This window comes from Homo sapiens, chromosome 9 (assembly GCF_000001405.40).
Source record: "Homo sapiens chromosome 9, GRCh38.p14 Primary Assembly".
NCBI classification, from domain to species: Eukaryota; Metazoa; Chordata; class Mammalia; order Primates; family Hominidae; genus Homo; species Homo sapiens.
The window spans coordinates 111,179,794-111,204,640 of NC_000009.12; positions in this window are offsets into that span (position 1 = coordinate 111,179,794).

Below are 24,847 nucleotides of genomic sequence, written 5' to 3' on the forward strand. Positions count from 1 at the left end.
GAGCAGAACAAGCTTTACCATAGCAATAAGACACAAAAAGCAGTAGCGCCAGTGGATTGACTCAAACTGCCAGTCCTCAGTCTCCACCTGGCTTGGAAGTAAGACCGACACCCGCTAAACTGAGTACACCTCTGCATTCATGGAAAATTAATTGAAAATCAAGACACTTGTCAACCTTTTTGTTTCCAGCTGCTAGAGCAGACCACATGGCTAACAATGACTAAGTACCTGTTACAAATCAGGCATCATAGAAGAAACTTTTAAAATGTTCCCAATAATCAATGAGAAGTTGTGATTATTCTAGGCAAACAGAGTCACAAGAGAAAGAGAAAAAAAAAAAAAAGCTGTTGTCCAGAGACATAAAGCTATTAAGCGGTAGATTGAATATTCAAGCCCAGGACAACCTGACTTGAAAAGTCATGTTCTTTTCACTAAATTATTTTGGCCGCCACTGAAGAGACAAGAAATCTCATGGGGAGACATTAGCAGATCAAGTTACTCAGAGATCATCCACAATACTTAACTGGTTGTTTTATGTCTGGATTAGATAATACAACCCATGTTTACAATATTAAGAAGAAATATGAGATGGGCCCAGAACCAGCCATCAATTCCAGTGATGCACAAGCCTCCATATTTCCTTGGGTTCACTGTGAACTGGTTAATGCAAAGCTTGACAAATTTAAGACATCCTGAAAGTCCCTGATGAGGAGTTTTCTGGATAACCAAAGATGACCTCGATTCTCACTTCTCTTGTGGAGCCACTGAACTCACTGTAGAGAGGCCTTGAAAATGTCTCTCAAAGTCTCTTTCCGCATGTAAATAAAGAAAGCTGGAGGGGTTTGTCACTGATCTAAAATCCACATACTAAATGATCTTGCTGGAGCACCTCTAGAACCTAGTGGACTCTGCACTCCTAAAGGCAAAGGGATGACTAACACCATTGTATTATTTTAAAAACATCCTTTCTCTGTTATATGATGAATTGTGGAATAAAGGCAAATTTATATGAGTAAAAGACAAATATTTGTTTCATAATATTGTTTCCCCAGAAGGTGAGAAGCACTGTTACCAATTCAAATTACTATGTTTCCAGTCACAGCTATTAAAAAATCATAATTAGTGCCACACATGGAAATAGTTTCATCTTAAGTCCCTCTTCTTTTATGTAACATTACATCATGAGTTTCCTTCTAACCATTACACATTTCCACAACATGCCAAGGCTGTAATTTTGGGTATGCGCCATTAGGGATGCTAATCATGGACTAGAAAGGAATAAAAGAATATAGGGCCTGCCTGCTAATACGTTCATGGGGGAAAAGGTAGCCAATGTCAGTGTCCCAGATGAAAGCATGCTTGAGAGGCAATGGCAACCTACATCAATACATCAAAAGGCAGGAGTGGAAAACAAGCAAAAACTTAGAAAACATCTGCCCCAAACATTAGGGAATATGGGTTAAACTGTTACGGATTCAAACATCTATAGAGATTTACTGAGATAATGATACCCAGAGGAAGGGTGACCTTTATAAACAGGGTGATTATAGAATTTACCATTCAAACTGGGACATTATCGATAATTGCACTGGGAAAATTAGAAACCAGGGTATTCCCAAGGAAACTGAGACAAACAATTGTCTTATTTATATTTTATAGGTAATTAAGAAGATATGAAGTGGAAGAGTTCCTAAGGGCTCCCAGACAGTTTGGCTATTAATGCATTGGCAACAATTTTTGTACCATATTGTAAACTAATGGTAGGATCGAGAATCCCTGTTCTTACCCTGTTTCACTGCTTTCACCGTTAAATATTATGCTGCTCAAAGTTGGAAGCAATGTTTCAATATTATTTTAAAAATGCAAAAAACAAGAATGGTCAAGCAGCGTTCATGAGGCAGAAACTAGAAGGTTCCTCAGGGCAGTGGTGTAAGAGTGTCCTAATGCATTCAGTGGAGACTGTACATTATGTAAGATATATTAATTATACCGTATTCCTAAGGTCCTAGAACTGTTTCAGTTGTGCATTCATCCTAGTGCATCACTGTGATTCTAGGATTTCCCTTAAGCCCTTTTTTCATTCTCTGCCACAGTAATGATAAATGGAAGGTCAGATTTTGGTGCCATGGATAAATGAGGAGTGGCGAAAAATGGGGTAGATTTGCATGGAGAAAGGCACCAGGAATCCAGTGGTTGGAGGAGTAGCAACCTCCACCACAACTCCGCAGGGATGCAGGTAGCACATCTCCATTTGCCTGAATGAGCAAGGAATGTATCTGTAGCAGGAACACAAGCTGATCCTCTGCTATAGATGGACTTCACAGACCTGAGCTAGTTAGTGTATGCATCTGAACAATCCTTGGCTCAGTAATGATATCCAGAAGATCCTCCTATTACTTCGACACTGTACACATTAAAGTCTTTTTCTGCTTCAACCAGCCACAGTCCATTTCTGTTGCATACAACCAATTCCTTTAATGGATAAAACCATTCAGAAGTAGCTTGCCCTTCCTTCCCCCCATTCTTCTTATGGTGTAATGATTGTGTAAGTCCCAAATACCTATATTAAATCCCTTCGTGGGGGAAGTGGGGATGGTTAATGGGTACTGAAAAAAAAAAAGAATAAGACCTACTATTCAATAGCACAATATGGTGACTATAGTTAATAATTGTATATTTTAAAGTAACTTAAAGAGTGTAATTGGATTGTTTGTGACTCAAAGGATAAATACTTGAGGAGATGGATACCCCATTCTCCATGATGTGCTTACTTCACACTGCATGTTTGTATCAAAACATCTCATATACCTTATAAACATACATAACTACTATGTGTACCCACGAAAAATTTAAAAAATAATTTTAAATTTTATTTTTCTCCATAAATTATTGGGGTATAAGTGGTTTTTGGTAACATAAGTTCTTCAGTGGCGATTTGTGAAATTTTGGTGTACTCATCACCTGAGCAATACACTGTACCATATTTGTTGTTTACTATCCCTAGTGCCCCTCCCATGCTTCTCCCTGAGTCCCCAAAGTCCACTGTATCATTCCTATGCCTTTGAGTCCTCATAGCTTAGCTCCCACACATCAGTGTACATACGATGTTTGTTTTTTTCATTCCTGAGTTACTTCACTTAGACTAATAGTCTCCAATCTCATCCAGGTCACTGCAAATGCTGTTAATTCATTCCTTTTTATAGTTGAGTAGTACTCCATTGTGCATATATATATATACACACACACACACACCACGGTTTCTTTATCCACTTATTGATTGATGGGCATTTGGATTGGTTCCACGATTTTGCAATTGGGAATTGTGCTGCTATAAAAATGCATGTGCAAGTATCTTTTTCATGTAATGACTTCTTTTCCTCTAGGTAGATACCCAGCAGTGGGATTGCTGGATCAAATGGTATTTCTACTTACCGTTCTTTAAGGAATCTCCACATTGTTTTCCATAGTGGCTGTACTAGTTTACATTCCCACCAGCAGTGTAGAAGTGTTCCCTCTTCACTGCATCCACGCCAACATCTACTGGGTTTTTTTTTTATTTTTATTTTTTATTATGGCCATTCTTGCAGGAGTAAGGTGGTATGGCATTGTGGTTTCGACTTGCATTTCCCTGATCATTATTGATATTTAGCATTTTTTATATGTTTGTTGGCCATTTGTATGTCTTCTTTTGCAAATTGTCTATCCATGTCCTTAGCCCACTTTTTGATGGGATTGTTTTTTTCTTACTGATTTGTTTAAGTTCATTGTAGACTCTGGATATTAGTCCATTGTCAGATGCATAGATTGTGAAGATTTTCTCCCACTCTGTGGGTTGTCTGTTTACTCATTGTTCCTTTTGCCGTGCAAAAGCTCTTTAGTTTAATTAAGTCCCAACTATTTATCTTTGCTTCTATTGCAGTTGCTTTTGGGTTCTTGGTCATGAAATCCTTGCCTAAGCCAATGTCTAGAAGGGCTTTTCCAATGTTATCTTCTAGGATTTTTATAGTTTCAGGTCTTAAAGTCCTTAATCTATCTTGAGTTGATTTTTGTATAAGGTGAGAGATGAGCATCCAGTTTCAATCTCCTGCATGTGGCTAGCCAATTATCCCAGCACCATGTGTTGAAAAGAGTGTCCTTTCCCCCACTTTGTTTTTGTTTACTTTGTCAAAGATCAGTTGGCTGTATTTGGGTTTATTTCTGGATTCTCTGTTCTGTTCCATTGGTCTATGTGCCTATTTTTATACTAGTACCATGCTGTTTTGGTGACTATGGCCTTATAGTATAGTTTGAAATCAAGTAGTGTGATGCCTCCAGATTTGTTCTTTTTGCTTAGTATTGCTTTGGCTATGTGGGCTCTTTTTTGGTTCCATATGAATTTTAGAATTGTTTTCTCTAGTTCTGTGAAGAATGATGGTGGTATTTTGATGGGGATTGCATTGAATTTGTAGATTCCTTTTGCCAGTATGTTCATTTTCACAATATTGATTCTACCCATCCATGAGCATGGGATGTGTTTCCATTTGTTTGTGTCATCTATGATTTCTTTCAGCAGTGTTTTGTAGTTTTCCTTGTAGAGGTCTTTCAGTTCCTTGGTTAGGTATATTCCTAAGTGTTTTTTTTTTCAGCTTTTGTTAAAGGGGTTGAGTTCTTGATTTGATTCTCCACTTCGTTGCTGTTGGTGTATAGAAGAGCTACTGATTTGTGTACATTAATCTTGTATCCAGAAACTTTGCTGAATTCTTTTATCAATTCTAGGAGCTTTCTGGAGGAGTCTTTAGGGTTTTCAAGGTAAACGATCATATTGTCAGCAAACAGTGACAGTTTGACTTCCTCTTTACCAATTTGGATGCCCTTTCTTTCTCTTGTCTGATTGCTCTGGCTAGGACTTCCAGTACCATGTTGAAGAGCAGTGACGAGAGTGGGCATCCTTGTCTTGTTCCAGTTCTCAGGGGGAATGCTTTCAACATTTCCCCATTCAGTATTATGTTGTCTGTGGGTTTGTCATAGATGGCTTTTATTACATTAGGTATGTCCCTCGTATGCAGATTTTGCTGAGAGTTCTAATCATAAAAGGATGTTGGATTTTGTCAAATGCTTTTTCTGCATCTATTTAGATGACCGTGTGATTTTTGTTTTTAATTCTGTTTGTGTGGTGTATCACATTTATTGACTTGCATATGTTAAACCATCCCTGTATCCCTGGTATGAAACCCACTTGATCATGGTGTATTATCTTTTTGATATGTGTTGGATTCAGTTAGCAAGTATTTTGTCACGGATTTTAGCATCTATGTTCCTCACGGATATCAGTCTGTAGTTTGCTTTTTTTGGTTGTGTCCTTTCCTGGTTTTGGTACTAAGGTGATGCTGGCTTCATAGAATGAATTGGGGAAGGGGTTCCTTCTTTATCTTGTGGAATAGTGTCAAAAGGATTGGTACTAATTCTTTGAATGTCTGGTAGAATTCTGCTGTGAATCCGTCTGGTCCTGGAGTTTTTTTTGTTGGTAATTTTTAAATTGCCATTTCAATCTTGTTGCCTGTTATTGGTCTGTTCAGGGTATCTAATTCTTCCTAATTTAAGCTAGGAGGGTTGTATTTTTCCAGGATTTTATCCATTTCTTCTAGGTTTTCTAGTTTATGTACATAAAGGTGTTCATAGTAGCCTTGAATGATCTTTTGTATTCCAGTGGTGTCAGTTGTAACATCTCCTGTTGCATTTCTCAGTGAGATTATTTGGATAACCTGGTACTGGGGGTTGTCTGCATAGAGCCCTGTGATATGAACCATCTATGGGTCTCTCAGCAGTGGATAACAGCACCTGTTCCGATGGAGGTTGCAGGGGGGTGCAATGGACCCTGTGAGGGTTCTTAGCTTTGGTCACTTAATGCTCTATTTTTGTGTTGGTTTGCCTTCTGCTGGGAGGTGGTGCTTTCCAGGGAGCATCAGCTTGGTAGCATGGAGAGGAACCAGCGGTGGGCGGGGCCCTAGCACTCCCAAGATTATATGCCCTATGTCTTCAGCTACCAGGGAAGGTAGGACAGAAAATTTTTAAGTAAATAAATCCTTATACCCAGAACACAGAGTGGTTTTCTATTTTTCATATAGTTCCTATTGTACTTCATCTGTAAAAAAGTTATCTGGAAAGTTACTCTAAACTTGCAGTAATCGTTATACTTTGGAAGGTTTAGACAGGAATAGAAATGAGGGTAGTCCAAGGATACTTGTCTTTATAATGTTCTGATTTTTAATACAAGTATATTACTATGTTATATGTGCAATAAAAATTCATTTGAAAGGAAAAATAATACAATTATAACATCTGACATAGACCTAGTACTGGTATTTATTCAAGAAATTCTTGCTAGGAGGAGTAAAAGAATATTCACATAATTTCATACTGCTATTTTATAGACAAAAGAGATGACACTGCAAATATTGATGGCACAGCACCACTATGCAATGGTGTGGAATGTTAGGTGTCAGATTTTATGTATTGTTCAAACTTGGGCAATAGATATAAAGGAAGTTCAGTGGTAGAAGGGAAGTAAAGCATATGAATACATGGTCACACTACTTTTGGAAGGCTGTGTGCATTGAGAACCATTAGTTGTAATCAACAGAATAAATTACAGTTGACTTAAATAAGAACTTTATTAAAATTGCTGAGAAGTTTAGAGGAACAGGTCTAGGAAATGGGCAGGCAGTAGGGAAAGTGATACCAGACAAGGTGATACGAGAGCTCCAATTTGGAAGACTGCTGCCACCACCAAAAAAAGAGGCTAAATGACTTGACCAAGATCCTGCAGCTAGGAAATGGTAGAACTGGAATTTGAACCTGGACAATCTGATTCCAGACTCTTTTCCATGACTGTATCCTACCTAAGACATGTGAAATCTGTGAAAACTATTGTGCCAAGAGTCATTGTGTAAATGACTGCTTCGTTAGCTCTTGCCAGCATTTTTATGACATTCCGTGTTTAATCTGAATGCTGTCTGATCTATTGGTTCTCTAATGTCTCGTCATCCATAGTACATGATGGAGACATAGACCAGAACAATGTTCTTTACTACAGCTTGTATAATCTAATAATACACTAATGGAAGGGAGAATACACATGAATACAACAGCATTCACTGGCAGTAAACATTGATGAGAAGTCTAGGGCACAAGATGGGAATATAGGTATATTTGTCACAAAAAATAAAGGAGAAAAAAACTTGAATGACTTGATAATCCATTTAATGAGGTAATTAGATAAGTTAATGTTTTAAATCAACCACACTCTAAAATTATCCTTTTCTAAGTAGTATTTTGTGCCAGTCATCTCTCCCCCTCCTTTTATTTATTTTTTGTGTGTGAGACAGGGTCTCACTCTGTCACCCAGGCTTGAGTGCAATGGTGCGATCTCGGCTTACTGCAGCCTCAATCTCCCAGGCTCAAGCAACCTTCCACCTCAGCCTCCCAAGTGGCTAGGACTACAGGAACACACCACCATGCCTGGCTAATTTTTGTATTTTTTTAAATAAAGACTGGGTTTCACCATGTTACCCAGGCTGATCTCAATCTCCTGGGCTCAAGCAGTCCTCCCATCTCTGCCTCTCAAAGTATCTCCCTTTCTCTTCTTAGTAGCATTATTTTCAAGTAAAATACATGGTTCTTAAGGTCTATGGGGTATTTCAAATTCCTTGGTAACTCAGCTCTCTAGAAGCTGAATAGTACAAATTCTATTTCATCTTATTAAAGTAAAATTCCAGTGGTCTACCAGCTTTTTCTGTGACTAATAAAGCTTTCTGGCTGAGCATTAATGGCCTTTATAAAAAACAGAGACCAGGAACATGATGACCCAAACTAAACAGTGTGCACACACTTATTAAGCAAGATGGAACCCAAAATATGTTTGACGGCAAAGACTAACCCCATTTGTTATATATACTCTAGCAATACATGAGCCTAAAACATCTTCTTGAACAATTTTCAGTGAGAGTTGTAAGAGTCATAATAACTTTCACCAGCCAAATCTGTTGTTTAGGTATGCCAGATTAAATATTTATTAAGGTAGAAGTATTCACTCCCCTTGTATGTGTGTATACACACACACATATAATATATATATATATGAGACAGAGTGCCTGATGATGTATGGAGCACATACATCTAAGTAATTTATACCCTTTCACATTTCTGAACAATAATGGGAAAAAGAGACTATTTTATACAGTTTTAGAACTGTCTAAAAATTTCCCTTAGTGTCAAAATTTTCTGAAAATTCATTATACCATTGATAATTTAGACAGAGTAAAATTTCACAGAAACTGTGACAGCACCCAAAATGTTTGCAATTAAGTATAATTATCACAGTACACTGTGTGTCTGTAAATTGTGGTAGGGAGATCACCCTTGATATTAGGTCAGGACTATTTGGTAATACTGAGGCAACACGACACAGAGAAAGAACAGAGCATTTGGAAAGAGACAGACCTGGACTGGAAAACATATGGTCAAAAATGCTCAGCTGGCCGCGGTGGCTCATGCCTGCAATCCCAGCACTTTGGGAGGCCGAGGTGGGTGGATCACCTGAGGTCCGGAGTTCAAGACCAGCCTAGTCAACATGGCAAAACCCCATCTCTACTAAAAATACAAAAATCAGCCGGGAGTGGTGGTGTGCGCCTGTAGTCCCAGCTACTTGGGAGGCTGAGGCAGGAGAATCACTTGAACGCAGTAGGCGGAGGTTGCAGTGAGCCGAGATCGCACCACTGCACTCCAGCCTGGGCAACGGAGTGAGACTCTGAAATAGGAAAAAAAAAAAAAAAAGAGAGAGAGAGAGAATGCTCATATGTTCATCTATAAGCCCCAAACTATCTATTGTCTACAGAGATAGAAACGCTTCCTTCCTTACTTCCTCAAGGATACTATTTCAAAATGAATGAAAAGTTTAAATGGCTATGAGCTGTTTCAAACCAAGAGTGCAGCGTAGACATCAAATTACCAGTTCTTCTCTTTATTCTTGGCACAGAGATAAATATGATAATGTTTACCCAGGATACTGGGTGAATAATTAGCTTAAAAATATACAGGAAGTATTCAATGTAGGCAACCCGGCTTGGAAATTCTGAGTATTATTAATTTTTGAAGTTTTATATTATTTTAATCTTAGTGATTTAGCTACTTTTGTTAGAGCAGAAATTCATTTCATATATTATTATTTATGTCCTCCAAATTCCAAAAAGGATGTTAGGAGGCTTAAAATGATATTAAAAGACAGATTAATCAAACCATTGTGAGGATGTGGTAGAATGAGTAATTATGTGAGAAAACTCCATTGAGAAAATACACTTCAACTAAATATAAGACTTAGGTATTTCCACCAAGGAAAGAAAAATACAAGGTTTTGGCATAAAATGGCATCTGCTTGGTGCTTATCATTAATCATCAGAGAAATGCAAATCAAAACTACAGTGAGGTATCATCTCTGCTCAGTTAAAATTACTTTTATCCACAAGACAGGCAACAACAAACGCTGGCAAGGTTGTGGAATAAAAAGAACCTTCATACACTGTTGGTGGGAACGTGAATTAGTACAACCACTAAGGAGGACAGTTTGGAGGTTCCTTAAAAAACTAAAAATAGAGCTACTGTATGATCCAGCAATCTCACTGCTAGTATATGGTCAAAAGAAAAGAAATCAGTATATCAAAGAGATATCTGCACTCCCATGTTTATTGCAGCACTATTTGCAGTAGCCAAGATTTGGAAGCAACCTAGACATCCATCAACAGATGAATGGATAAAGAAAATGTGGTACCTGTACACAATGGAGTACTATTCAACCACAAAAAGCATGAGATTTTGTCATTTACAATAATATGGATGTAACTGTAAGTCATTTTGTTAGGTGAAATAAGCCAGGCACAGAAAGACAAACTTCACATGTTCTCACTTATTTGTGGGAGCTAAAAATTAAAACAAATTAACTCATGGAGATAGAAAGTAGAATGATGGTTACCAGAGGCTGGGAAGGGTAGTGGGAAGTTGGGGGAAAGTGGGGATGGTTAGTGGGTACAAAAAAATAGAATCAATAAGACCTAGTATTTAATAGCACAACAGGGTGACTATAGTCAATAGTTGTACATTTTAAAATAACTGAAAGAGTATAATTGGACTGTAACACAAAGAATAAATGCTTGAAGCAATGGATACCCTATTTACCCTGATGTGATTATTACACATTGTACGCCTGTGTCAAAATATCCCTTATACCCCATATATATACCTACTATGTGCCCATAAAAATTAAATAATGTAATTAAAATTTTTTAAAAACATAGTTTAACATTTTTAAATTAGTATCTGCTTAGCAACTTCTACAACAACCTTTCCTGAAAACATACTAACATACTGATGAAGATTTGGAAAACTATGAAACCATTAATAAGATTAATAGATACTATAATGGAAATATATGGAAGGCAATTAATTTCCATTGACTAAAATGCCAATGGAGTTTGATTGAGAAAAAATAATTCAGGCATTCTCAAGCTTCATCATATGAAACAAAGGGCAATGCTGAGTTGAAAGACAACAGGAGATACACTTCATCCTTCACTCTCTCACTCTGGCTCCATAGGAGAGACAGATACCAAAGGCAGAAATAGGAGGAGCCTTGATAAGAACATACAATGCAGGCTGTGATGTTGCACATGCTCTTCAGAGAACAGAGCTAAGAGAAAAAGCATACCTCATTCCAGCAGAATGTGCTCATTAAATGTGTAGAGTACAGTGAAATATTGGCTAAGTGGCACCCAGTGAGACAATGCAAAGACTCAAGGATAATCCACTCATCTTGACTGATGATAAACACCAGGTCTAAATAGCTCTTTCCATTTTTGTAAAAGAAGAAAAAATATTTTTGCTTCAACTTTTTAATTTTGTTTAAATTTAATTTTTTAATTTAAAAGTTAAAAATGTTTTTAAACAGAAGAAAAACAATATTAAGTGGGTTCTATGGAAACATAATGCATCACAAGGAAAAGATAATACACCCTGATGACTAGAAGCGACTTACTTATTCTTACAAATATTTGGTGGAGGCCAGGCACAATGGCTCACGTCTGTAATCCCAACACTTTGGGAGGCTAAAGTGGAAGGATTGCTTGAGGCCAGGAGTTTGAGACCAGCCTGAGCAATGTAGCAAGACCCAGTTTCTACAAAAAGAAAAAAAAAATTAGCCAAACGTGGTGGCACATGCCTGTACTCCTAGTTACTCAGGAGGCTGAGGCAGGAGGATGACTTGAGCCCAGAAGTTTGAGGTTACAGTGAGCTATGATTACACCACTGCATTCCAGCCTGGGCCACAGAGTGAGAACTTGTTTCAAAAAAAAAATGGTGGGAAGCAAAGGAAATTTTTAGAAAACTTGGCATCCTTAATAGGATGCCAGAAGACAGAGCAAATACAAAGAGAGAGAATAGAAACAACTTAGTTCAACAAAATTTGATGCAAAGACAATACTTAGAGATGAATAGGAGGCCAGGTGAGGTATAGAAGAACAAAAAGGAAACTAGCATTGAAAGATAATTAAAATCTACAATGGAGTCAGTTAAGAAAGGAAAGTATATGGCAAAGAAACAAATGTAGAAAATAACCTGAAGAGCCATCCTAAAATGTAGCTGTAAAGACACAGACTGGAAAACTATATGATTTTATAAATATAGAGAAATTAGATAAAAATCCAGTCAAAACATTAGGGAAAGGCCAACTAAATCAGAATAATTTAGAAGTTACAACTTTTCTGAGCTAAAATATATAAAGATTAGATTATGCATATCAAAGGTGATTAGCATATTCTAGGTAAAATTATCAAAAAGAGAGCCATGCCAAAATTTCTGAATTACAAAGATCAAGAAAATATCCTATAAGTCTTCAGAGTTAGAGGGATGTTACCTACTGTACTAGGGTTTTCAAGAGAAACAGAACCAATAGGAGGGATACATATGATATAGATACATATATAATTAATTATGGGAATCAATTCATGTAATTATGGAAGCCAAAAGTCCTACAATCTGCTGCCTGCAAGCTGGAGAACCAGGGAAGCCAGTGGTGTAATTCATTCTGAATCCAAAGGCCTGAGAACTAGGAGAACCAATGGAAAAGAGTCTGAAGGCCTGAGGGGGTTGGGAGGGAAGAGGAAAAAAAAGGAAGGGTAGAGTAAGGAAGGGGAGTGGATGCTGGTGGTATAAGTCTCAGAGTCTGAAGAACCAAGCAGCAGCTCTGATGTCCCAGCCTTTTTATCTTATTCCAGACCTCAACAGATTGGATGATACCCCTCAAGGCTGAGAAGGGTAGATCTTTACTTAGTCTATCAATTCAATTCAGTCTCTTCCAGAAGCATCCTCACAGATACCCAGAAAAAAATATTTTCCCAGCTATCTGGGTATCCCTTAGCCCAGTAAAGTTGACATATAAAATTAACTACCACACCAACAAAGAAATACCCTGTACCCCCATAAAAAGACATTGTGTGACCTCAAAACCCTCTCCAATAAAAAATGCAAAAAACTAATAGAGAAAAGTCTATAGGATTTCCTAGGGGAAAAGCTGTGACATGAGATTATCTCTAAATGAATAGTTATTCCTGTGTGAAAGAAAAAAATAATCATTCCAGACATACAAAAATTCAGAAAATACAGAATCCAAGTGTCTTTTTTATCTTAGAGTAATTTTTTCCTTTTTAATTATAAAATGTATAACAAATTATTAAAAGAATATTCAAATAATAGAAAAAAGTTACAATCACCCATATATCTCTGGGTTATCTATCCAAAGATAACTTTCCAGTTTCATTTAACAATCTGCCACAAAGTTGTTGTCTTCTATGCCATTGAAAATTCTCCTACAGTGTAATTGGTAAGGTAGGAATTAGATACTGGTTTATTTTAATATGGAAAATAATAAACTGTGAATGTTCCACCATTTATTTAACCATTCTCTGTGACCAATTGTCAGTTGGGCTCACCCTTAGATCAGCACTGGGGAAGTCCAGTGCTTCCTCCCAAGATCTTGCATATTCCTAAGGGATTTAAATTCTTATGGTTATTTCTGACTTTGGGCTCTTGCTTTCCACTGAGTTTATTTTGAATACAATTGTTTTGGCCTGCTGTATCTGATCCTACCACTCTCCGCTTAAAAGCTTTTAATAAAATAATTTTCCATTGCCCTTGTAATTAAGTATAAACTGCTCAGCTCGACTTACAAGTCTTGCCTATGTGTCTAGCCTCATCTCCAGGCACTGCCCCCATCTCACCTGCTCTCCTCCTTTCCCCTGTACTCCAATAATATGAACAACTTTTCAAATGAGTCAAACTCTATCTTAACCTCCAGACTTTTGGCAAGTTGTTAAAGTACATATATACTAATATATTTCTAGGCACTTTGCTAAAAACCTAACAGGTCTGGTCCAGAACAAACAGATCAGTGAAACAGAATATGCAGCCAGAAAACAGATTCTAGTACATATGGGAATGTAATGTGTTATACAGAGGTGTCACATGACACTGAAAATGTGGTAAACATTCTAACAAATGTTGAGATCACTAGCTTCCACTGGAGCAAAAAAATTTTAAGACTGATAAAGTTTGATCCTTACCTAATAATAGTATGCATGAAAATTAACAAGATGTAGTTTAAAAGTGGAGGTGAGACCATTACAAATTGGAATTACTTACTAGTAATCAGTTATTTAATTGATTTTGAGGTATAAAAGGAATTTCTAAGCATAGAAATGATGAAAAAATCCTCAAAGGAAATTTAGAAACTTTGATACATTAAGGAAAAACTACAAATAAATGGGGTAATATATTTTCAATTGTAATGAATTTTTTTTTTTTTTTTTTTTGAGGCAGGGTCTCACTCTGTTATGCAGGCTGGAGTGCAGTGGTACAATCACAGCTCACTGCAGCCTGCACCTTCCTGGGCTCAGGTGATCCTCTGGGCTCAGGTGATCCTCCTACCTCAGGCTCCTGAGTAGCTTGGACTGCTCACCATGCCCAGCTAATTTTTTAATTTTTTGTAGAGACGGGGGCTTTACCACATTGTCCAAGCTGGTCTTGAACTCCTGGGCTCAAGCAATCCCCCTGCTTTAGCCTCGCAAAGTACAGTTGTAATGAATTCTTTCTATTTTGGGGAGTTCCAAACTCACTCAGAAAAAAGGTCTAACTCCATATATCCTCCAGCTCTCTGGCCTTATCTCCTGCTACCCTTACAACACCCCCTACCCCAACTTACTTGACTCATGGTCACATGGACTCCTTTTCTCTTTTCAACCCATCCTACATGCTCCCACCTCAAGCAAGGCCTTTGCCCTTGCTGCCCTTTCCTTGGGGTTTTCTTTTTCCCCAGTTACTTGCACACCTTACTTCCACATTTCTGTATTCGTTTCCTATTGCTGCTGTAATAAATTACCAAGAGTGTAGTAGCTTAAAACAACATCAATTTATGATCTTGCAGTTCCAGACGCCAGAAGCCCTAAAATCAAGGTGAGAGCAGCGTTGTGTTCTTCCTGGAGGCTGTAGGGGAGAATCTGTTTCCACGCCTTTTTCAGCTTCTGGAGGCTATCTGCATTCTTTGGTTCATGGTCCCTTCCTCCATTGTCAAATCACCAGCATAGCATCTTCAAATCTCTCTGACTCTGCTTCCGATGTCACGTCTCCTTTTGTGACTCTGACCCTTCTGCCTCACTTTTATAAGGAGCCTTGTGAATACATTGGGACTATCTTCTTGGGACAATCCAGGATAATCTTCCCATCTCAAAACCATTAACCTGGCTAAGCACGGTAGCTCACACCTGTAATCCCAGCACTTTCGGAGGCTGAGGTGGGTGAATTACCTGAGGTCAGGGGTTCAAGACTAGCCTGACCAACATGGTGAAACCCTGTCTCCACTAAAAATACAAACAAAATTAGCTGGGCATGGTTGCAGGCACCTGTAATCCCAGCTACTCAAGAGGCTGAGGCAGGAGAATTGCTTGAACCCAGGAGGCAGAGGTTGCAGTGAGCCGAGATCGTGCCACTGCACTCCAGCCAGGGTCAGAACGTGACTCCGTCTTGAAACAAAACAAACAAACAAAAAACAAAACCATTCACTTAATTGCATCTGCAAAGTCCCTTTTGCACATAAGGTAACATATGCACAGGTTTTAAAGATTAGGACATGCAAATTTTTAGAAGGGAGCATTATTCTCTCTACTACAATTTCCTTCAGATCTAACTCAAACATTATCAAAAATTGAGGACAGACCTATATAAAATTAGGAACAGCTTCTACTCCCATCCCCACCCCTATCTTTCTCACTTTATTCTTCTCCATATCCATTAATACTAGTTAATTCATGCAAACTACCTTAGGTCAGGGACTTTGTGTTGTTTACTCATATATTTATTTCCATAGCTAGAACAGTGGGAAGCACATGGTGCTCAATGAATGCCTGTTGAATAAGTGAATAAGAAAAAATAAAACGAGTTTTGTTTTGGGGGTTAGGGGAAGAAAAATATCAGAATAAGTTGTCTCATGCAGTAAGATAAATTAAAAACGAAGAAAGGAAGAAAGAAAGGATTGCCTCCCCTTAAATAGGTGTCAAACTGTGAACATGTTCTGTTATTGGTTCATGAAATTTTCCCTAAATCGTGCATTACATTTTCTTTAAATTTGGGGCAGAACAATATAAGTCACAGTAATGGAAGCAAGATGTGAAAAGTCTACACATCTGTTAGGAAAAATCCTACTCCCCCCATGCCCCTGTTGCCTCTATGGTAATCCAAGGGAAGGTAAGTCTAAGTAAAATAAAAAAGGGAGAAGGGAAAAGGAACTTTGAGCCCTTGTGGCCAGTTCACAACAAAAGTCTGTTACGCCATGGTTTGTAGCCTGTTATTCAGCAGGAAAAAATCTTGGAAAAACAAGCATCTTGTTCTGGGAATGTCAGGGAGAAGGAAAACAATTCAAAATCCAATCAGTGTCTTTGAGCGAAACACAGATTCTTTTATTCTGCTAGTTTGGACAACAGTTCCTCATGCAGATTTTACAGAGCTAGAGGTTGTCGGAATCATGAGAAAGTCTAGGAAAAGCCTGAATCACACAAGCTTATAAGATTTGGGGCCGCTGCAGGATTGTGGAGCTTCACCAAGGGAGAGGATGGGAGGGCGGAGTGATATATGAAATGGAAAACTGCATTCTGGCAAAGGATGTGCCTGCTCTGAAATTCTCATAGCAGGATGACACTTGAAACCTTTGTTTCTACTTTTCCTTAAAGTGCATGAGGCCACACAATTGTTCCAGTCACTCTTACTGTATAAAAATCATTCCACAACTTAGAGGTATAAACTACAATTCATCTATTTTGTTCCCAGTTTTGAGGGTCAGGAACTGGGTGAGGCAGTGCTGAGCAGCTCTCATTCGCAGTCTCTCATGCAGTTACATTCAGATGTCCACTGAGGCTGCAGTAATCTAAAGGCTTGCCAGGCTAGATGTCCAAGGTGGAGCAAATCATATAGCCAGTCATTGCTGCTAACCATTAGCCAAGCACTCAACTGCCTACATGCACCCTCTCCAGCATGGTGCTTTGAGAGAAGTCAGACTTTGAACATGGTGGCTGGCTTCTCCCAGTGAGAATTTCAAGAGATAAACTCAGAAGCCACATGGCCTTGACTGACCCTGGAAGTGAAACAACATCATTTCTGCTGCATTCTGTTCATTACAAGCACATCACTAAGGTAGAGCGATCCAAGACTATAAGCAGCTGTGGTCCGCAGCATTCACAGAGAGGAATGAAAAGGGGTGAGTGAATTCAGCACCTTCAACCAAAACTATGTCCAGGTTCTCGCATTGGGACTAACTAGGCAAACAACCCCTGGAGAATGAAGAAAAGCCGGGGGGTGGGGAGGTGACAGCCCACCTGAGAATGGCATAGAGCCAAAGGAACCCCACTCCCAGCCAAGAGAAGTGATGAATGATTGTGTGACTCTTCCTGGAAAACTGCACTTCTCCCATGGATCTTTGCAACCCACAGATGAGGAGATCCCCTCGTGAGCCCATGCCACCAGGACCTTGGGTCCAATACACAGAGCTGTGTGGAGTCTTGGCAGAGCAGCCACTCAGTCACACACAGAGACCCAGGAGTTTTATATACTCTGGTCCCAGGATCCCCAGAAAGGTGGGAAATCCATCTGTACGTATCCCTAGAAAGGGGGCTGAATCCAGGGAGCCAAGCAATGTCATTCTGCAGGCCCCACTTCCACAGCACCTCACAAGTTAAGACTGACTGGTTTGGAATTCCAGCCAGCCAATGGCAACAGGCTGGAATCTGCAGGACACAGGTCTGAGTTTCTACCATGTCTGTGGTTCAGTAGACTCAGCCATTCCAGCTTGCTGGCTTTGGAGAATACAAAGGGTCTGGGCCAGAAAAGGTTCCCCACAACACAGCACAGGTGCCTTGCCAGATTGTGGCCAGACTGCTTCTTTAAGCAGGACCCCTTTCCATTTATCCTCACTGGGAGGACATCAGCATGGGGGCTTCTGCCACTCCAGCCAGGATTCTACAGATAGAGCTCTGGTCTCTCCCTGGGACAGAGCTCCCAGGGGGAGGGGCAACCACCATCTCTGTGGTTCAGTTGACTCAGCTGTTTCAGCCTGCTGGCTTTGGAGAATACAGACAGTGCAGACAAGGAAAGGTCCCCCACAATGCAGCACACCTGCTCTGCCAAATAGCAGCCAGACTGCTTCTTTAAGCAGTTCTCTGATCCCATTCCTCCTGACTGGGTGAGACCTCCCAACAAGGGTCTCCAGCCACCTCCTACAGGTCAGTACCCCCCTGGGTGGAGCTTCCAGAGGAAGGAGTTGGCTGCCATCTTCACTATTTCACAGGCTTCACTGGTGATACCTTCAGGTACAGGAAAAACCAAGGGAACTAGTGTCTGGACTGTACACCCAGCAAACCACAGCAGCCCTACAGTAGGGTGGCCTGACTGTTAGAAGAAGAACAAACCAACAGAAAACAACAACAACAACATTAAAAAAAAAAAAAACCACCAAAACCCCATTCAAAGGTCAGCAGCCTCAAAGATCGAAGGTAGATAGGTCCACAAAGATAAGAATCAACGCAAAAATGCTGAAAACTCAAAGAGCCAGAGTTGCCTCTTCTCTGCCAAATGGCTACAACGCCTCTCCAGCAAAGGCATGGAACTGGGCTGAGGCTAACATGGCTGAATTGAGAGAAGTAGCCTTCATAAGGTGGGTAATAACGAACTGTACTGAGCTAAAGGAGTATGTTGTAACCCAATACAAAGAAGCTAATAATCATCATGAAACAATACAGGCACTGATAGCCAGAATAGCCAGTTTAGAGAGAAACATAACCAACCTGACGGAGCCAAAAAACACAACATGAGAACTTCACAATGAATCACCACTATCAATAGCAGAATAGACCAAGCAGAGGAAAGAATCTCAGAGCATGAAGACTATCTTTCTGAAATAAGGTAGGTAGACAAGAATAAAGAAAAAAGAGTCAAAAGAAATGAACAAAACCTCCAAGAATTATGGGACTATGTAAAGAGATTGAACATACAACTGATTGGGGTACCTGAAAGAGACATGGAGAACGGAACCAAGGTGGAAAACATACTTCAGGATATCACCCAGGAGAACTTCCCCAACCTAGCAAGACAGGCCAACATTCAAATTCAGGAAATCCAGAGAACCCCATAACATATTGCATGAGAAGATCAGCCCCAAGACACAGAGTCATCAGATTCTCCAAGTTTGAAATGAAGGAAGAAATGTTTTTTGGTTTTTTTTTTTTTGAGACAGAGTCTCACTCTGTTGCCCAGGCTGGAGTGCAGTGGTGTGATCTCTGCTCACTGCAAGCTCTGCCTCCTGGGTTCACACCATTCTCTTGGCTCAGCCTCCTGAGTAGCTGGGACTACAGGCACCCGCCACCACGCTCAGCTAATTTTTTGTATTTTTAGTAGAGACGGGGTTTCACCATGTTAGCCAGGATGGTCTCGATCTCCCAACCTCGTGATCCACCTGCCTCAGCCTCCCAAAGGAAGAAATGTTAATGGCAGCCAGAGAGAAAGTCCAGGTTACCTACAAAGGGAAACCCAACAGACTAACAGCAGACTTCTCAGTGAAAACCCTACAAGCTAGAAGAGATTGGGGGCCAATTATTCAACATTCTTAAAGAAAAGAACTTCCAACCCAGAATTTCATGTCTGGCAAAACTAAGCTTCATAAGCAAAAAAGAAATAAGATCCTTTCCAGACAAGCAAATGCTTAGGGAATTTGTCACCACCAGGCATGCCTTGCAAGAGCTCCTGAAAGAAGCACTAAATATGGAAAGGAAAAACTATTACCAGCCACTACAAAAACACACTAAAGCACACAGACTAGTGGCACTATGAAGCAACCACATAAACAAGTTCACAAAATAACCAGCTAACATCATGACAGGATCAAATTCATACATATCAATATTAACCTTAAATGTAAATGGGCTAAATGTCCCCAATTAAAAGACACAAAATGGCAAGCTGGATAAAGAGCTAAGACCCATTGGTATGCTGTCTCCAAAAGACCCATCTCACGTGCAAAGACAAACACAGGCTCAAAATAAAGGGATGAAGGAAAATTTACCATGCAAATGGAAAACAGAAAAAAGCAGGAGTTTCAATCCTAGTTTCTGACAAAATAAATTTTAAACCAACAAAGATCGAGAAAGAAAAAGAAGGTCATTACATAACGGTAAAGGGTTCAATTCAACAAGAAGAGCTAACTCTCCTAAATATATATGTACCCAATACAGGATCACCCAGATTTATAAAGCAAGTTCTTAGAGACCTACAAAGATACTTAGACTCCCATACAATAATAGTGGGAGACTAACACCCCACTGACAATATTAGACAGATCATCAAGACAGAAAATTAACAAAGATATTCAGGACCTGAACTCAGCTCTGGACCAAGTGAACCTACAGATATCTACAGAACTCTCCACCCAAAAACCACAGAATATACATTCTTCTCATTGCTACACAGCACTTACTCTAAAAGTCATCACATAATTGGAAGTAAAACACTCTTCAAAATGGATAAATTCCTCGACACATACACTCACCCAAGACTAAACCAGGAAGAAGTTGAATCTCTGAATAGACCAATAACAGGATCTGAAATTGTGGCAATAATCAATAGCTTACCAACCAAAAAGAGTCCAGGACCAGATGGATTCACAGCTGAATTCTACCAGAGGTACAAGGAGGAACTGGTACCATTCCTTCTGAAACTATTCCAATCAATAGAAAAAGAGGGAATCCTCCCTAACTCATTTTATGAGGCCAGCATCATCCTGATACCAAAGCCGGGCAGAGACACAACCAAAAAAGAAAATTTTAGACCAATATCCTTGATGAACATTGATGCAAAAATCCTCAATAAAATACTGGCAAACCAAATCCAGCAGCACATCAAAATGCTTATCCACCATGATCAAGTGGGCTTCATCCCTGGGATGCAAGGCTGGTTCAATATATGCAAATCAATAAATCTAATCCAGCATATAAACAGAACCAAAGACAAAAACCACATGATTATCTCAATAGATGCAGAAAAAGCCTTTGACAAAATTCAACAACACTTCATGCTAAAAACTCTCAATAAATTAGGTATTGATGGGACGTATTTCAAAATAATAAGAGCTATCTATGACAAACCCACAGCCAATATCAGACTGAATGGGCAAAAACTGGAAGCATTCCCTTTGAAAACTGGCACAAGACAGGGATGCCCTCTCTCACCACTCCTATTCAACATAGTGTTGGAAGTTCTGGCCAGGGCAATTAGGCAGGAGAAGGAAATAAAGGGTATTCAATTAGGAAAAGAGGAAGTCAAATTGTCCCTGTTTGCAGATGACATGATTGTATATCTAGAAAACCCCATTGTCTCAGCCCAAAATCTCCTTAAGCTGATAAGCAACTTCAGCAAAGTCTCAGGATACAAAATCAATGTACAAAAATCATAAGCATTCTTATACACCAACAACAGACAAACAGAGAGCCAAATCATGAGTGAACTCCCATTCACAATTGCTTCAAAGAGAATAAAATACCTAGCAATCCAACTTACAAGGGATGTGAAGGACCTCTTCAAGGAGAACTACAAACCACTGCTCAAGGAAATAAAAGAGGATACAAACAAATGGAAGAACATTCCATGCTCATGGGTAGGAAGAATCAATATCGTGAAAATGGCCATACTGCCCAAGGTAATTTACAGATTTAATGCCATCCCCATCAAGCTACCAATGACTTTCTTCACAGAATTGGAAAAAACTACTTTAAAGTTCATATGGAACCAAAAAAGAGCCCGCATCGCCAAGTCAATCCTAAGCCAAAAGAACAAAGCTGGAGGCATCACACTACCTGACTTCAAACTATACTACAAGGCTACAGTAACCAAAACAGCATGGTACTGGTACCAAAATAGAGATATAGATCAATGGAACAGAACGGAGCCCTCAGAAATAACGCCACATATCTACAACTATCTGATCTTTGACAAACCTGAGAAAAACAAGCAATGGGGAAAGGATTCCCTATTTAATAAATGGTGCTGGGAAAACTGGCTAGCCATATGTAGAAAGCTGAAACTGGATCCCTTCCTTACACCTTATACAAAAATTTATTCAAGATGGATTAAAGACTTAAATGTTAGACCTAAAACCATAAAAACCCTAGAAGAAAACCTAGGCATTACCATTCAGGACATAGGCATGGGCAAGGACTTCCTGTCTAAAACACCAAAAGCAATGGCAACAAAAGCCAAAATTGACAAATGGGATCTAATTAAACTCAAGAGCTTCTGCACAGCAAAAGAAACTACCATCAGAGTGAACAGGCAACCTACAAAATGGGAGAAAATTTTCGCAACCTACTCATCTGACAAAGGGCTGATATCCAGAATCTACAAGGAACTCAAACAAATTTACAAGAAAAAAACAAACAACCCCATCAAAAAGTGGGTGAAGGACATGAACAGATACTTCTCAAAAGAAGACATTTATGCAGCCAAAAAACACATGAAAAAATGCTCACCATCACTGGCCATCAGAGAAATGCAAATCAAAACCACAATGAGATACCATCTCACACCAGTTAGAATGGCGATCATTAAAAAGTCAGGAAACAACAGGTGCTGGAGAGGATGTGGAGAAATAGGAACACTTTTACACTGTTGGTGGGACTGGAAACTAGTTCAACCATTGTGGAAGTCAGTGTGGCGATTCCTCAGGGATCTAGAACTGGAAATACCATTTGACCCAGCCATCCCATTACTGGGTATATACCCAAAGTACTATAAATCATGCTGCTATAAAGACACATGCACAAGTATGTTTATTGTGGCACTAATCACAATAGCAAAGACTTGGAACCAACCCAAATGTCCAACAATGATAGACTGGATTAAGAAAATGTGGCACATATACACCAGGGAATACTATGCAGCCATAAAAAATGATGAGTTCATGTCCTTTGTAGGGACATGGATGAAATTGGAAAACATCATTCTCAGTACACTATCGCAAGAACAAAAAACCAAACACCACATATTCTCACTCATATGTGGGAATTGAACAATGAGAACACATGGACACAGGAAGGGGAATATCACATTGGGGACTGTTGTGGGGTGGGGGGAGGGGGGAGGGATAGCATTGGGAGATATACCTAATGCTAGATGACGAGTTAGTGGGTGCAGTGCACCAGCATGGCACATGTATACATATGTAACTAACCTGCACAATGTGCACATGTACCCTAAAACTTAAAGTATAATAAAAAAATTTAAAAAAAAAAAATAAATAAAAATAAAAAAATAAAAACACTCTTCAGCAAATGCAAAAGAACTGAAGTATAACAGTCTCTTAGACCACAACATAATCAAATTAGAACTCAAGATTAAGAAATTCCACTCAAAACCACACAACTACATGGAAATTGAACAACCTGCTCCTGAATGATTCTTGGGTAAATAATGAAACAAAGGAAGAAATCAAGAAGTTCTTTGAAACTAATGAGAACACAGGGACAACACACCAGAATCTCTGGGATGCAGCTAAAGCAGTGTTAAGAGGGAAATTTATAGCACTAAACGGCCACATCAGAAAGTTAGAAAGATCTCAAGTTAACAACCTAACATTTCAACTAAAAGAACTAGAGAACTAAGTGCAAACAAACCTCAAAGCTAGCAGAAGACAAGACTTAACCAAGATCAGTGGTGAAATGAAGAGAGAGACATAAAAAACCCTTCAAAAAAATCAACGAATCTAGGAGCTGGCTTTTGAAAAAATTAATAAAATAGACCACTAGCTAGGCTAATAAAGAAGAAAAGAGAGAAGAATCAAGTAAACACAATCAAAAACGACAAGGAGGATATCACCACTGACCCCATGGAAACACAATCATCAGAGAATACTATAAACACCTGTATGCACATAAACTAGAAAATCTAAAAGAAGTAGGTAAATTCCTGGACACATACACCCTCTCCCCAGACTGAACCAGGAAGAAATTCAATGCCTCAATAGCCAAGCAATAGTTCTGAAATTGAGGCAGTAATAAATAGCCTACCAACAACAACAACAACAAAAACCGAGGACCAGAGGAATTCACAGCTGAATTCCACCAGAGGGACAAAGAAAAGCTGATGCCATTTCTACTGAGACTATTCCAAACAACTGAAAAGGAGGGACTCCTCCCTAACTCTTTCTGTGAGGCCAGCATCATCTTGATACCCAAACCTGGCAGAGATGTAACAAAAGAGGATAACTTGAGGCCAATATCCCTGATGAACGTCAATGCAAAAATCCTCAACAAAATACTGGCAAACTGAATCCATCAGCACAGCAAAAAGCTTATCCACCACAATCAAGTTGGCTTCATCCCCAGGATGCAAGGTTAGTTCAACATATGCAAATCAATAAATGTGATTCATTACATAAACAGGACTGAAGACAAAAACAATACGATTATCTTAATAGATGCAGAAAAAGCCTTCAATAAAATTCAACATCCCTTCAGGTTAAAAACTCTCAATAAACTAGATATTGAAGGATGATACCTCAAAATAATAAGAGTCATATATGGCAAACCCATAGCCAACATCATACTGAAAAGCCGAAAGCATTCCCCTTGAAAACTGGCACAAGACAAGGATGCCCTCCCTCACCACTCCTATTCAACGTAGTATTGGAAGTTCTGGCCAGGGCAATCAGGCAAGAGAAAAAAATAAACAGTATTCAAACAAGAAGAGAGGAAGTCAAATTATCTGTTTTGCACATGCCATGAGCCTATATCTGGAAAACCCCATCATCTCAACCCAAAAGCTTAAGCTGATAAGCAACTTCAGGAAATTCTCAGGACACAAAATCAATGTGCAAAATGGCTAGCATTCCTATACATCAACAATAGGGAAGCAGAGAACCAAATCATGAATGAATTCCCATTCACAATTGCTACAAAAAAAGAATAAAATAGCTAGGTATACAGCTAACAAGGGAAGTGAAGGACCTCTTCAAAAAGAACTACAAACCACCGCTCAAAGAAGTTGGAGAGGACACACACACACACACAAAATGGAGAAACATTCCATACTCATGGACAGGAAGAATCAATATTGTCAGAATGGCCATACTGCCCAAAGTAATTTATACATTCAATGCCATTCCCAGTAAACAACCATTGACATTCTTCACAAAGTTAGAAAAAACTATTTTACAATTCATATGGAACGAAAAATGAGA